Source organism: Homo sapiens, chromosome 2 (assembly GCF_000001405.40).
Source record: "Homo sapiens chromosome 2, GRCh38.p14 Primary Assembly".
Taxonomy (NCBI): domain Eukaryota; kingdom Metazoa; phylum Chordata; class Mammalia; order Primates; family Hominidae; genus Homo; species Homo sapiens.
The window spans coordinates 25,821,495-25,836,408 of record NC_000002.12 but is presented as its reverse complement, the minus strand read 5'-3'; the positions used below and the strand labels follow the sequence as shown (position 1 = coordinate 25,836,408).

At 38.5% G+C, this 14,914-nt stretch overlaps 1 protein-coding gene and 1 pseudogene across 2 annotated transcripts in view, besides 2 other annotated features; one reads left to right on the top strand and one right to left on the bottom strand.

The window, feature by feature from the left end:
- ASXL2 (ASXL transcriptional regulator 2) overlaps window positions 1-14,914 on the top strand; it is a 144,735-nt gene that overhangs the window by 42,079 nt on the left and 87,742 nt on the right. The window contains exon 3 of one of the 2 annotated variants that reach the window (NM_018263.6): window positions 869-871. In NM_018263.6, the coding sequence (NP_060733.4) occupies window positions 869-871 (3 nt within the window). Of the gene's footprint in view, window positions 1-868; window positions 872-5,507; window positions 5,599-14,914 lie in introns of those variants that run through there. The other variant, NM_001369346.1, reaches the window with a different exon arrangement.
- Window positions 6,295-6,589: a silencer, noted in NCBI's record as "tiled region #10168; HepG2 Repressive DNase matched - State 5:Enh". NCBI's record gives its function as "represses a minimal TATA promoter and a strong SV40 promoter by Sharpr-MPRA in HepG2 cells {active_cell/tissue: HepG2}" and the evidence as "EXISTENCE:reporter gene assay evidence [ECO:0000049][PMID:27701403]".
- Window positions 13,260-14,140, bottom strand: PTGES3P2 (prostaglandin E synthase 3 pseudogene 2; annotated as a pseudogene).
- Window positions 13,976-14,035: an enhancer, noted in NCBI's record as "active region_15465". NCBI's record gives its function as "activates an Ori minimal core promoter by ATAC-STARR-seq in GM12878 lymphoblastoid cells {active_cell/tissue: GM12878}" and the evidence as "EXISTENCE:reporter gene assay evidence [ECO:0000049][PMID:35858748]".

The following is a 14,914-nucleotide window of genomic DNA, read 5'->3' as shown; positions in this document are numbered from 1 at the left end:
TTATCCCTGCAGAGTAGATCATTTGATTATTTGCCAAGCTGAATTGCCTTGAAGTGATTTCATTAGAAAGAGCTTAGTTTTAGAATGAAGAACATTATTTGTATTGATAATATATCTAAGGTTGGAGGATTCCTTTGTGGTTAAGCCTGCATCTTCCTCCTCTTTTTCTTTTTAAACATTTTAAAAATATTTTTTGTAGAGATGAGGTCTCACTATGTTGCTCAGGCTCATCTTGAATTCTTGGGCTCAAGCAATCCTGCTTTGGCCTCGGCATGAGGCACTGTGCCCAGCCATCTTCCCTATCTGTTAGTTGCAATCTGCTTTCAAGCCCACAAACCTGGTAGGGATGTCAAGAAGGATTAGTAATGAAAAAAATGACAACAAAATGCTTGGATATTGACAGAAAAGAGTATTCTTATCCATTGTAATTCAGATCCATAAGAGCTCCATTATGTATCACAGGGAAGCTAATAAACCTTAAGTCCACAGCTGATGGCGTTATGATGGCTCCTTGAAATTGAAATGCATGGGAAGAATATTAAAGAATGGGAAGTATTCATTGTATCCACATTTAAATGCCCTAACAGTTTTACTCTGTTACATAATCAAATTACTGCAACTGTTTTCTGAAGTAGTTTAGACTGTTTAGCTAAATTTGTTTATCTTTAGACATTTTGATATGATATTTTTGGCTAATTTATAAATTTTAATGAAGAAATTAATGAGGGGGTTACTAATTTGGGGAATTGTGGATATTGCTGGGATGGGAAGGGACAGTTTAATTTTTGGTTTTATTGTTGCTTTGTAAGAAAAATTAAAAGCTTTTTTTTTCCTTCTTTCATTTTCCTGCACTGCATTCCAACTCCAGAAGGTAAGAAGTATTACTTTATTCTAAAGAAGTATTATGCAATTATAAAGCACACTTTTATAAATTTAATTGAACTTACCTTTGGATGCATGAGTTTTACTTTATAAAACTAAATAATTAGTCCAGAAACTAAGTAATATCGATATTATTATGTTAGTGTTTATTCGTTAAGTGTGCTTTGTTTGGTTCTTGCAGTTTGTAATTATTGTTTGATCATAAGTTTAGAAATCCGATCTACATTAAGGTTTATTAAAATCAACATTTGACTTATAAAAGCGTTGGGATGCCAAGTATTCTGCAGAGTAATAATGAAAGTATTTAGTAGACTGGAAACATGTATATTAACATTTGCTTTATGGCTGTAAGATTGAAAATGTATGTTTGTGCTCTTAATTTAGATAAAATATTGGTAAATCGGCTGGGCATGGTGGCTCACACCTGGTAATCCCAGCACTTTGAGAGGCCGAGGTGGGTGGATCACTTGAGGTCAGGAGTTCGAGACTAGCCTGACCAATATGGTGAAACTGCATCTCTACTAAAAAATCCAAAAATTAGCTGGGTGTGGTGGCCGGCGCCCGTAATCCCAGCTACTCGGGAGGCTGAGACAGGAGAATTGCTTGAACCCACAAGGTGGAGGTTGCAGTGAGCCGAGATCATGCCACTGCACTCTAGCCTGGGCAACACAGCAAGACTCCGTCTAAAAAAAAAAAAATTGGTAAATCCTTTAGGGGCATGATACTTAAAACCAGGGCAGAATGGGTTAAAAATCAGTCTGGATCCTTTACTGAATTGACTTTTTGTGTGTGGGCATGGCCTTTTAGATTCACCTCCACTATAGCAGTTCCCGTGTTACACGCCTGTGAGACCTGAGGGCAACAGTCGTATTGCCTGTGAGACTTGAGGGCAACAGTCATGCCCATGTATTTTCATGTTACTTGGACATGGCATGCTTGGGTTATAATTAGAGCGTAGTTAGTCTTTTTAACTCTAGTTATATTTGTAGTCCATTAAGTTCATTTGTAAGAACCTGTTTATTGTAAGCAAGAGTTTGTGGATGAAAGCTTAATTAAGGTCTTACAAAGTTAAAATTATAATTAAAAAATAAAATAGGTATATTTTGTTTTGTGTTATGTTTGTTTGAAGGGAGCATGTATTTGATTTGTTCTTATTTATTTATTTATTTTTTTGGAGACAGAGTCTCACTCTGTCACCCAAGCTGGAGTGGAGTGGCATGGTCTCGGCTCACTGCAACCTCTGCCTCCCAGGTTCAAGTGATTCTTCTGTTTCAGCCTCCCTTGTAGCTGGGATTACAGGTGCCTGCCACCAACCCCGGCTACTTTTTGTATTTTTAGTAGAGACGGGGTTTTACCATGCTGGCCAGGCTGGTCTTGACTTCCTGACCTCAAGTGATCTGCCCGCCTTGGCCTCCCAAAGTGCTGGGATTACAAGCGTGAGCCACTGCGCCTGGTCATTGATTGGGTTCTTTAAGTGCAAATGATAGGAACCAAATGTGAATAACTTAAGCAAAACAAGATTTATTTAAAGAATATGGGAGCAGAGGCAAGACTCAGACTCAAAGGCAAGAAACGGGCTCTGAAATTAGGAGAAGGAAGGCAGCTTCAGAGATCAGGTAGATAGAACTAATGCATAGTCTCATCAAGACACTGCAGCTGGGCTAAATTAGTCATTGTCTACTCTGCTCAAGGTTAAACTTTAAGGGAAGAGTGAACTTGGTTGGCCCAGTGCCCAGGGATGGTGAGATATCTTGATGGACAGTCTTACCAAGACTATTTCCAGTAGGGGAGGGCATAGTTCCCCAAAGCAAAATTAAGCTTTTTTTTTTTTGAGACAGGGTCTTGCTCTGTTGCCCAGGCTGGAGTGCAGTGGTGCAATCTCAGCTCACTGCAACCTCTGCCTCCTGAGTTCAAACAATTTTCCTGCCTCAGCCACCTGAGTAACTGAGATTACAGGCGCACGCTACCACGCCCAGCTAATTTTTTGTATTTTTAATAGAGATGGGGTTTCACTGTGTTGGTCAGGCCGATCTCAAACTCCTGGCCTCAAGTGATCTGCCCACCTCAGCCTTCCAAAGTGCTGGGATTACAGGCATGAGCCACCATGCCCAGCCAAAATTGAGCATTCTTTGCAGAAGAAGAGGGAATGGATATTGGCCAGGAATAAACAACAGCTGTCCATTGCTCACTATAGAAAATTAAAGTACAACAGAAAAATGTAAGCCATAAGCAGTTGTAGGAAGTAACCTTTTATGCAGATTCTCCTAATGGTAACATTGTACAAAACCATAGTGCAGTGTCACAGCGAGAATATTGTTTCTGATATAATCCACCTGGTTTTACTGGTACCGGGGTGTGTGTATGTGTGTATAGGGTGCTATGTGGTTTTATCACGTGTATAGATTCATGTACCTACCACCACACAAGATACAGAATACTTTCAACAAATATCCCTTGTGTTCCCCTTTTAAAACCACATGTACTTCCCTAGTACCCCTTGCCCCCCTTCCTTATACTAGTCCGTCCTACATTTCTATAATTTTGTCATTTCAAGTGTTTAATGGAATCATAGAGTATGTAACCATCTGGGATTGGCTCCCCCCGCAGCCCCCATTCATTGTATGTCTCTGGAGAGTCCTCCAAGTTATTGTGTTCATAGTTCATTCTTTTTTATTGCCGAGTAGTATTCTTTGACATGGACGTGCGACCGTTTCTAACTGTTTATCCGTTGCATGATATCTGAATTGTTTCCAGGCTTTGGCTATTAAAAATAAAACTTCTATGAACATTTGTGTAAATGTTTTTGTATGGGCATACATTTTCCATTCTCTGGGATAAATGTACAGAAAGTGCTGTTGCTGGGTTGTGTGGTAAGTGCATGTTTAATTTTAAAGACACCTTGAAACTGTAAATGAATTTCTTGTAAACTGCATAGTTTAGAATTTTTTTTTTTTTGGCCCATGCTGCCAATCCTTGCCTTTTAATTTGTGTGTTTACACCATTTATATTTAAAGTAATTGTTGATAGGTGAGTTTGCCTTTTTGTTTTTTTGTTTTCTGTTTCCTCTATTTCTCATTCCTCTGTTTCTCTTTTCTTGACTTCCTCATGGATCATATTTTAGGATTCTGTCTTGATTTATTTATAGTATTGTATTTCTTTGTATGTCTTTACATGCTTTTCTTAACTGTTTCAACTGGGTATTACAATATATACACGTGATTTATCACAGTCTGCTGATAATCATTTTACCACTCTAAGTGAAGTGTGGAAACCGTACTTCCATTTAGATTCTTGAGTATGAGATGGTATTAACATTTGTGTTCCAGTCATGAAATGTGATTTATAAAATTTATGAGAAGCATAGTCTGTGGTATATACCTATTCCTGTTCTTTCTGTTTTTTCTTCCTGGTGCTACAGGATTGCTTCTTTTATCATTTCCATTCTATTGAATGACTTCCTTTAGTCATTCTTTAAGAATAGTTCTACTTCTCTTAGTAAACTACTTTTAGTTTTACTTAGTCTGAAGCTGTTTCATCAGATATAGAATTCACAATTGACAGTTCTTTTCATTCAGCACTAGTGAAATGTCATGCCACTTCCTTCTGGCCTATGTGGTTTTAGGCGAGAAATCTATTGTCATTTGAATTGGTGTTTCCCTGTAGTAATGTGTTGTTTCTCTCTGCTTTCAGGACTTTTTCTTTGGATTTAGTTTTCAGAAGTTTAATTATGATGTATCTTGGTGGACTTATTTAGATTTATCCTATTTAGATTCACTGAGTTTCTTGAATCTGTAGGTTTATTTCTTCATTTTTCTTTATTACTTTTTCTTTTTCTTTTTAAATCCTGTTACATCTTCAGGTTTTTTGTTTTTTGAGACAGGGTCTCATTTTGTTGCCCAGGCTGGAGTGCAGTGGTGCGATCTCAGCTCACTGCAGCATCAGCCTCCTGGGCTCAAGCAATCCTCCCACCTTAGCCTCCTGAGTAGCTGGGACCACAGGTGTGCACCACCATGCCTATCTAATTTTTGCATTTTTTGTAGAGGCAGGGTTTCATCATGTTGCCCAGCGCAATACCTGAGCTCAAACAGTTTGCCTGCCTTGCCCTCCCAAAGTGCTGGGATTACAGGCCTGTGCCATTGTGCCTGGCCTGTGTTTATTTCTTTAACCAAATAAGAGAAGTTTTCAGCTGTTAATTCTTTGAATACTCTTTTTTTTTTTTTTTTTGAGACGGAGTCTCACTGTGTCACCTAGGCTGGAGTGCAGTGATGTGATCTCTGCTCACTGCAACCTCTGCCTCCCAGGATCCAGCAATTCTCCTGCCTCCCGAGTAGCTGGGATTACAGGTGTGTGCCACCAAGCCAGCTAATTTAGTAGAGACAGGGTTTCACTGCATTGGCCAGGCTGGTCTCGAACTCCTGACCTCAAGTGATTCACCCACCTTGGCCTTCCAGAGTGCTGGGATTACAAATGTGAGCTACCGTGCCTGGCCAATTCTTTGAATACTCTTTCTCCCCTACTCTCTTTCTCTTTTCTTTCTGGAATGCTGATGATATGAATGTTGAATCTTCTGTTGTTATCTCACAATGCCTTGAGATTCTGTTAATTTTTTTGGTGTTATTTTTTCCGTCTCTTCACATTGAGTAAATTGTATTGACCTGTTCTTAAGCTCACTGATTCTGTCCTCTGTTGTCTCCACTCTCTTACTGATTTCATCTGGTGAGTTTTTAAATTTCTTAATGTATTTTTTATTTTTATATTTCTATTTGATTTCTTTTTAAAAGTTCTGTCTTTGCTGATATTTTCTATATGTTTGTTTCAAAAGAATTTTAAGTAGTTCTTGAAGCATTTTTATGAGAGCTATTCCAATTTTTATTTATTTATTAATTTTTTTTTTTTTTTTTGAGGCAGAGTCTTGCTCCGTCGCCCAGGCTGGAGAGCAGTGATGCGATCTCGGCTCACTGCATCCTCCACTTCCTGGGTTCAAGCAATTATCCTGCCTCAGCCTCCCAAGTAGCTGGGACTACAGGCATGCGCCACCATGCCCAGCTACTTTTTGTACTAGAGACGGGGTTTCACCATACTGGTCAGGCTGGCCTCAAACTCCTGACCTCAGGTGATATACCTGTCTCGGCCTCCCAAAGTGCTGGGATTACAGGCGTGAGCCGCTGCATTCGGCCTACTCTGAAATTTTTCTTACAATTTTCACATCTGTCTCAGTGTTGGTGTCCTCTAATTGTCTTCTTTGATTCAGATAGCGATTTTCCATTGAACCCTGGATATTTTGGCTATCATGTTAGGGGATGTCCAGTCTTATTTAAGCTGGCATTCACTGTGCTTACTTAGGTTTACCATGCAGGTCCTGGACTGTTTTAGTGGATTGTGGTTCCAATAACAGTTTAATTTTCAGATCCTTTGCAGTGGTATTTGGGTCTGCTTGTTTTATCTGGTGCCACAGAGGCTCCCATTGACCTCTGCTGCTTCTTATTGATCTCTGTTGCTTCTGTTTGAGGCGGTGGGAATTTTCACAGGCTGGGTTGCCTGATGCCTGTAGATGTGGACAAAAGGGAGTCTTCAGCCTGTGGGGACAGACAGGCTTCCTGGCAGGATCCCCTTTGCTTGAGCTACTTGGCTGCTCAGCATCTTGTGAGAGCGGGAGGTGTTGTAGTCTCAGGCCCACAAGGACAAAGAGGCTTCCTGGGCTGGACTATTTTTGTGATCTTCTCCCACTTGCTTGTGCCATTTGGCCTCCCCTAGTCTAGTCTTTATTTTTGAGACTTGAGGGAACATAAACTTGCAACGAAAGTCATTTAATAATCTCCTAAGATCTACCATAACTAAGTTACTTCTCTTAGTTGGGAAATGCCAGGAATTGGTAAAATTAATGGGTCAACCAACTACTTCAAAACTCTGAATCTCAATATAAATGGCTACATCAGGACTGGTAACTCTGGTTCAAAGTAGAAAATAATTGTAATAAGTAGTGTTAGCTGTTTAGATATCCAAGCTCTGTTTGCTAAATCAACAAGAATACCAAGTAGGACAAAGGTATAAAATTGCGAAATTTCTGTCTTTTGGTTTACTTAATTGAATCTGTTGATTTTTATTCTCTCTCTCCAGCTGAGTTCTTTCAGAACCATGCCCATAGTTTATATTCATTCATAAGTATTTTGTTTTCCTCACTAATACTCCTTTTACCTCAGATGATAAACCCTCGTGTGTGTGTGTGTGTGTGTGTGTATGTGTATGTGTCTCCCTTTCTGTGTTTCTGTCTCTGTCTCTCTGTTTGTCTCAGGCAGGAGTGCAGTGGTGTGATCATAGCTCACTGCAGCCTCGACCTTCTGGGCTCAGGTGATTCTCCCACCATAGCTTCTGTAGTAGGTGGTATTACAGGTGTACACTGCCACATCTGGCCTACTTTTTATTTCCTATTCCTCATAAGATTGAAAAGCCTGATGCTGTAATAAACCAGTAGTGAAATGGCCTTGACTAAGATGGGAGTCCATTCACATGGTCTGTTTAATCTTTAATAAGCCTTGTGAGATCATTATCTCATAGATAAACACATAAAATCAGTGAAAAATTACATATCTAATTAGTGATAGAACTTGAACCCACATCTGTGAGTCTAAAATATAAGTGCTGTTTCTGCTGCACTCAGGAGATTGGACAAGGTTGTTGTTTTTTTTTTTTTTTTTTTTTTTTGAGACACAGTCTCACACTGTTGCCTGGGCTGGAGTGCAATGGTGCGATCTCAGCTCACTGCAACTTCTACCTCCAGGGTTCAAGCAGTTCTCCTCCCTCAGCCTCCCCAGTAGCTGGGATTACAGGTGCCTGCCACCACTCCCGGCTAATTTTTTGTATTTTTAGTAGAGATGGGGTTTCACTATGTTAGCCAAGCTGGTCTCAAACTCCTGACCTCGTGATCTGCCCACCTTGGTCTCCCAAGGTGCTGGGATTACAGGCGTGAGCTACTGTGCCCGGCCTGGACAAGGATCTTTTCTTTTTATTTTTTTTTTTTGAAATGGAGTTTTGCTCTTTGTTGCCCAGGGAGGGAGTGCAATGGTGTGATCTTGGCTCACTGCAACCTCCATCTCCCAGGTTCAAGTGAGTCTCTTGCCTCAGCCTCCCGAGTAACTGGGATTACAGGCATGCGCCACCATGCCTGGCTAATTTTTTGTATTTTTAGTGGAGACGGGGTTTCTCCATGTTGGTCAGGCTGGTCTCGAACTCCTGACTCACGTGATCCACCTGCCTCGGCCTCCCAAAGTGCTGGGATTTCAGGCATGAGCCACCGCACCCAGCTGGCCTGGACAAGGATCTTAATGAGCTGTTTCTTATTTCTCTTTAGGTGAAAAGTTAGATTGTTCTCTAAGGCCCTTCTATACCAAGAGTTTGTAATTATCTAATCTAAATAATATTGAACCTTGTTATTTCATTTGTTTACTTAAAAATAGAACATAGAATTACTGGACTCCTTTTTTTTTTTCATTTGAAACTGTTTTGCCCACTTGTTAATGCTAGTGGACAAAGCCATGCTTTTTAGAAGATGTTAGTGGAAGACAATAATGGGATGATAGAGTGAAGGTTTATAGTTAGGTGTTAACGGTAAGGTAAAGCAAACAACAACAAAAAATTTCCAAGGAATCTTTTATTGCTATGACCTCCCTCTCTAGGCGATTCCTAGATCACTCTCATTTGTTCTGTGCCCATCTGCTGCTCTGTTGACCTAGAACCTCTCATTTTGGGGCCACAACTAGATCTACTTACCCCAAGCTGCTTGTTTAAAAGTTTTCCTACACACCCTTTCCCTTATGTCTTTAGTGCTTTTATTCCCATTTGTTTGATGGTGTATTTTGGGGAGGAAAAGAGTATGAAGAAACAAATTGATTGAAGTGTGGATGAATCAAATGTTTACTTTTTAAATCAAAGTTAAAAGCTACATTTATATTATTTCTTTTTAAAAAGCAGATTAGTTGTTAATCCGAATGAATCAATCATGGTGGAATTGCAGGTAATGTGATCAAGGGAAGGAAAAATGTTTTACTGAAGATGTGTAGGAATACAAAAATTTAAATTTAAATCTAAAATCAACCAAGACTATTTATTAATTCAGTAATTTCTAAATTACCAAACGTAATTTAGAAATTTCCAATGTAAGTGTGCTGTTGAGGTCAGTTTTGTTCTGTGTTTTCTGTTTGTAAAGGCATGTAAGTATGCCATAAAATCTATTTTTGGTCTTAAAGTTATGTAGTATTAAATTTCGAGAGTTCATATGTGAATAATGATTGTGGGTGTGTGTTTACAGATATATGTCTAAGTGGATATCATGTGAATGAAAGATTGTAGATACAATGACTATAAATTTATTATATCTTTATATTTAAAATTGACTTTAGGCCAGGTGTGGTGGCTTATGCCTGTAATCACTTTGGGTGGTGAAGCGGGAGGATCGCTTGAGCCCAGGAGTTTGAGACTAGCTTGGGCAACATAGGGAGACCCTATCTCTACCCAAAAAAAAAAAAAAAAAAAAATTATTAGCTGTTCGTGGTGATGCAGACATGTGGTTCAGCTACTCAAGAGGCTGAGGAGGAAGGAGCATTTGAGCTTAGGAATTCAAGGCTGCAGTATGATTGAGCCAGCCTGGGTTACAGAGCAAGACCCTGTCTCTAAATAAATGAACAAATAAATAAAATAAAATCGACTTGAAGTGAGGGCATTTAAGCATCTGGTCTAGATGACTTTTTTTTTTTTTTTTTTTTTTTTTACCTTGAAAGTCTATTATTTAATCCTATTGAAGTTCAAGGGATTGAGCTTTGAAGGATAAATATAGATTGTGTATAGTTCAGCCAGGAATAGGGAAAATGATTAATCATTGTGGCCTTAAGGCCAAGTTTTGACAACTGTATTTTATAGGAAGGAGTACGGAAAAAATGGACAAGAGATTGGGGATTAAAGTAGGAATTAGGCAGTAACTTGTTATTGCAAGGGAGAATATCTCTAGGATCAAATAAGTTGGATTAGTGATGTCCCTTAAACCTGTTTATCAAAGGTTTGAAATGGGGATAACAAATATTGGCAGACACTGATGAATTTTAAGGATGGACGGTACAAGCTTAATGTATTAAAGATTCTTTGGATTGGGTGCAGCATGGAATGCCAGTGAGGAGACCAAAAATAATCTGGAAAGGAGTAGACTTCAGGATTTCATGAAGTCTTAAAATACTTAAACAACTGTCATTGGAATGATAAAGAAATAATGTCAAACTTTTCCAGCCCACTTTCAAAGATAATTTGTTGCAAAATCAGTTTCAAAATTCAAACATTGCAGAGGAAAACAAAGAGCCCCCCAGATTTTCCCAGCATTATACTACTGATTTCCATCATAAAGGTAGACTTATAAATAGACTTATAGGAAGAGTATTTAGCTTAGCTTAAGAAGGAATTTGTGAATAATTGGAAATGCTTGAGGACATAGTGCCCGCCCACCACGTTGTATGCTTGTATAAGACATTGGGTGATTACCTGTTTAGATACCTTAGACGGGGTACAAGTACCTGTAGGTAAATGGTCTAGGTCACCTATGGAGCTCCCTTGTCAACCGATATCTTATCTGATTTTTGTTAGTAGGTGTTGAAAACAGAGAGAGAGTTGTGTAAACTGAGAATTAAGTAAAGAATGATCAAAAGTTGTAGGATTTTATTTTACCCAGCAATTCCTCTTTTGCCTGTATACGCAAAAGAATCGAAAGCAGAGACTTAACAGATAGTTTTAACACTAGTGTTCATAGCAGCGTGATTCACAGTAGCCAAAGGGAAGAAACAACCCAAATATCCATTGATGGGTGGATGGATGGCTGAACAAAATGTAGCATATATATTCAATGGAATATTCAGCTTTAAAAAGAAAGGAAAATGACACCTGCTGCAGCATGGATGAATCTTGAAGACATTGTGCTAAGTGAAATAAGCCAGACAAAAAATAAAAAATACTGTACGATTCCACTTATATGAGATACCTAGAGTAGTCAGATTCATAGAGACAAAGAGAATGGTGGTTGCCAGGAGCTGGTGGGCAGGGGAAGATGGTTGCTGTTTAGTGGGTGTAGAGTTTCCGTTTTGTAAGATGAAAAGGTTGCTCAACAGGGTGACTGTACTTAACACTACTGAACCTGTACACTTAGGTAAGATGGTAAATTTTATGTATATTTTACCACAATAAAAAAGTTCTAGGATTTTGCATTTATTTGAATGGGGCACAATTTAATCTAATGTAGGAGAAACAGCCATCTTGTTATATTAGTAGGAAATAGAGAACATTTGCCTAAGGTAAAGAGAATGAGCAGAGGTATGCCTTTAACTTTTTCAGGAAGGTTAATGTTCATTTTACCTTGTTAAATTTAAAATCTAGACAGTGATGGGTGGTTAAGAAAGTGAAGGATAAGAATGTGATTTTTATTAACTTCTGCTCACAATGCAATGATTCAGAATTGGTAAAACAAGTAAGTTTTAGAGTTTTGGCAAGAGCCTTTAGAATGAGAAGGATTATAGACAAGACAAAGCAAGCTAAAGCTGAGACTTTTAACTTTGAAAGTTGATGGGCCATGTATACTTAATGACCTTTATTCTGGACTTCATTTACATGTGTCTTTGAGCCCCAGAAAGAAACTAAGAATGAAAGAAAGAATAGTGAAAATGTCATGATGCTCAGTGGGGAAATTAGACATCATTAGTTACCGGAAAAGTTACCAGTTAATTTTGGGAAGAGATCTCTTTTTAAAAAAATACATAATTAGGAAACATTAAGAATCATAATTTTGCTACAAGTGCTACTGCATTTACAGTTGAATATACTGTTATTTGTAAACCACGGGGTTGGAGACTGACAAATTAGAAAACAAGCTCTAAACCTGAGTTTCTGATTTTGTTCGATTCTTGAATTGATAGCAAAATTGCAAATATGGCTAACAGTTTTTAGATAGTGTACATTTTAAACTTCTATCTATTTGCTGAATTTTTCTGGAGGCAAATTGTGTGTGTGTGTGTGTGTGTACGTGCACACTAGTAAAGAGACTGTCATTTGGCTCAGCTCAGCTCCAGTTCAGTTATTTTTACATTAAAATGTAAGAATGAGTACTTCTTTCTTATGGAAACTTCCACTTCATCTTTTATACCACCTGCACATACTACCGTGTTGCTATATGATAGGTCCTTTGTAAATATTAAATGAATGAGAAATCAAGACAGCTTCTTTTCCATATTTTTTTTCCTGAGTTTATGGAGTTTTAGTATTATTATTTGATTTTATATTTGTATTTTTTTCTTTTATATTGAAACCTTTAGTTCAAAACAGCATTATAAATGTATCCTTTCAGTACATAAACATAGTTTCAAATTATTAATTTCAGCATAACTACTAATTATTGCTATATATATTTTAGAGGAGGACAACACATTTAGTTTTATTTCAATCAAATCACAACACTTTCTTTTCCAATTGCTGCAAAGTGCATCTACAATATTCTATTACAGATCCACTTTAAAAAGGTTTCCTATGACATTACAGCAAGCCTCTTTTTTCAAACAGAGAAATAATCCCAAATTTTTCCTCAATTAAAAATAAAAACTCCATTCCAGTAAGTGGTAAATACATAAAAATTACAGTAAGCCAGACACTTAAAAGGACAGCCAAGAAGTCTTCCAACAGTTTATTAGAAAGAATGTGGACATCAAGAAAAATCCCCACTGTCATGAACATAAATTGAGGTTTTAAGCCCTGGTATAAGCTGAAAAAAAAAAAAAGAAAGAAATCCAATACTGTATTAAACGTTTTTCACTCATTTGCCATACTGACAGTGCAGATACAAATCTGGTCTAAATGTACAGACTCTTAAACAAACAACAATGTACAGCTTTCTTCATCTTCCGTGCTAAGAGATGTAAAAACACCTAAGGGTCAAACAATACCAAATATACAGGCTTCAAAAACCATCTAAATTAGGGCATTCTCTAGTTTTAGCTAAGATACATGTGAATACTGACAAGTAATCACTTATATAGAATAATGTGAAGTAAATATTTTGAAAAATAAACTTGGAACAATCCTGAAGGATAACACCAGAGGAATAGCAGGTTACCAGTAAGGTGTCAGCCAATTTGTTCCAGCCATTTTTGAATCCATGTTCTATAATCTAAAATTTAGTTCTCTTTCCGTAAGCTGAGAGCTTCCTATCATGTCAGTATCTATGTTATGAAGAAAAGGAGACTTAGGTGGTGAGATGTTTTTATTTATCACAACTGCTGCATCAATTGCCTAGGACCTCACTCAACAGCTTCATGAAAATCTAGGAAATGTTCATGCATAAGGTTATTGCCTTAGCTGACTTAAAATTGCCCCATACAATGGTACATATCAACCCTTAGTGAAGCCTTTTAAAAAAACAAGCAGGCTGAAAAATGGGTCAAAGTAGGCAAATACAGCATCTGCCTTTAGAGCTGTCAACTTAGGAATTCTCTCAATTGTGAAATCTTGCAGAGAAGTTATTTTTCTTTCCCAAAATCCAGGTGATGACAGTATTCCTTACTCCCGATCTGGCATTTTTTCATCATCGCTGTCTTGTGAATCATCACCTGCTCCATCTACTTCTGGTCAATCTGCATCCTCTTCACCACCCATGTTGTTCATCATCTCAGAGAAACGATCAAAATTAGACCTGTCTTCATCTGAACCATCTTCCCAGTGTTTCCAATTACTGAAGTCCACACTAAGCCAATTGAGTTTTGCCCTTCCTTTTGTTAACCTTGGCTATGACTGGCCAGATTCTCCTTTTCGTAAACAACATACAATTGATCTGTCCGTTTTTTTTATGCTTGGAATCATTAGGATCAATACTGTGAAAAAGATCAACTTCATTTAAATACTTAAAATTATCACTTCCTCTGAGACAACTGAATGTTAAGTTTGGATTTTTCAAAATTTACATGAACATCCTTACTGTGTTCACAGAATTCAGTGAAGACATAGTCCCTTCGATAGTACCACTTTGCAGAAGCAGGCTGCATTGTGAACAGGGCAGGGGGACGGGCGAACAGGTGGGCGGCCCTCTGGCGTCGACTGCTGCTAGGGAGTCGACTTCTCTCCGGTGACGACTCTGCGTTTTCTCCCGGTCGCGGCCTCTTCTCGCTTCCCTCAGGCGATGGCGGCAGCGGCGGGCTCCACCTCGGTCCCCAGAATGCACCGCGCAGAAAGAGCGGCCCCTCCGGTCGGGGAGAAGAGAAAAGTGTAGGAAAAGGGGCCCGAGGACTTACTGTTAAATTTTTATGTAGAGAAAACCTTGCAGAGTAAAGAGTTACTTTTACCTTTTATTATCTACAAGTTTCTTTTACCTTTTATTATCATTTTTGGGCTTTCAAAATTTCTGTGTGAAGGTGGAAGATGAATTCTTCTCGCCAACTCAATTTTTAGTATTAATGTTGATAGGCTTCTTGCCAGTGAGATTCAGTCCATTAAATCTTTAGTTCGCCAGATAACCTGAATTACTTGCAACTCATTGCATCATAAGCAGGAGTTGTTCTAGGAGTGTCAGTGGCATTATTGTACTCTTTACATGGTAGATCAGTTTGTGCCATATTGAATCCATTCATTAGTGTCCGTCCATCATAGTGCAGGTCCAGAAACAGCAGAAAGATGAACACTCTAAATAAAGCAGAGAGACATAAGTTGCCCCAGTGTTTTCATTTTCTTGCTGCTTCTTATTTGATAAGTGGATATTTATGGTGTTTGTTTTGGAATGGTTTTCTTTTCCTTTGGTTAGTCAAGTGATCAAGTGCTTTGTTTTCTGGATACATTTTGTTTTATTTGACCCTGGGACCCTGGGAGAATATATACGTGTTCATAGAAAATATGGGAACAGGCCAGGCAGTGGCTCATGTTTCAACGGTGGTTCACCATGTTGGTCAGGCTGGTTTCCAACTCCTGACCTCGAGTGATCTGCTCGCTGTGGCCTCCCAAAGTGCTGGGATTATAGGCGTGAGCC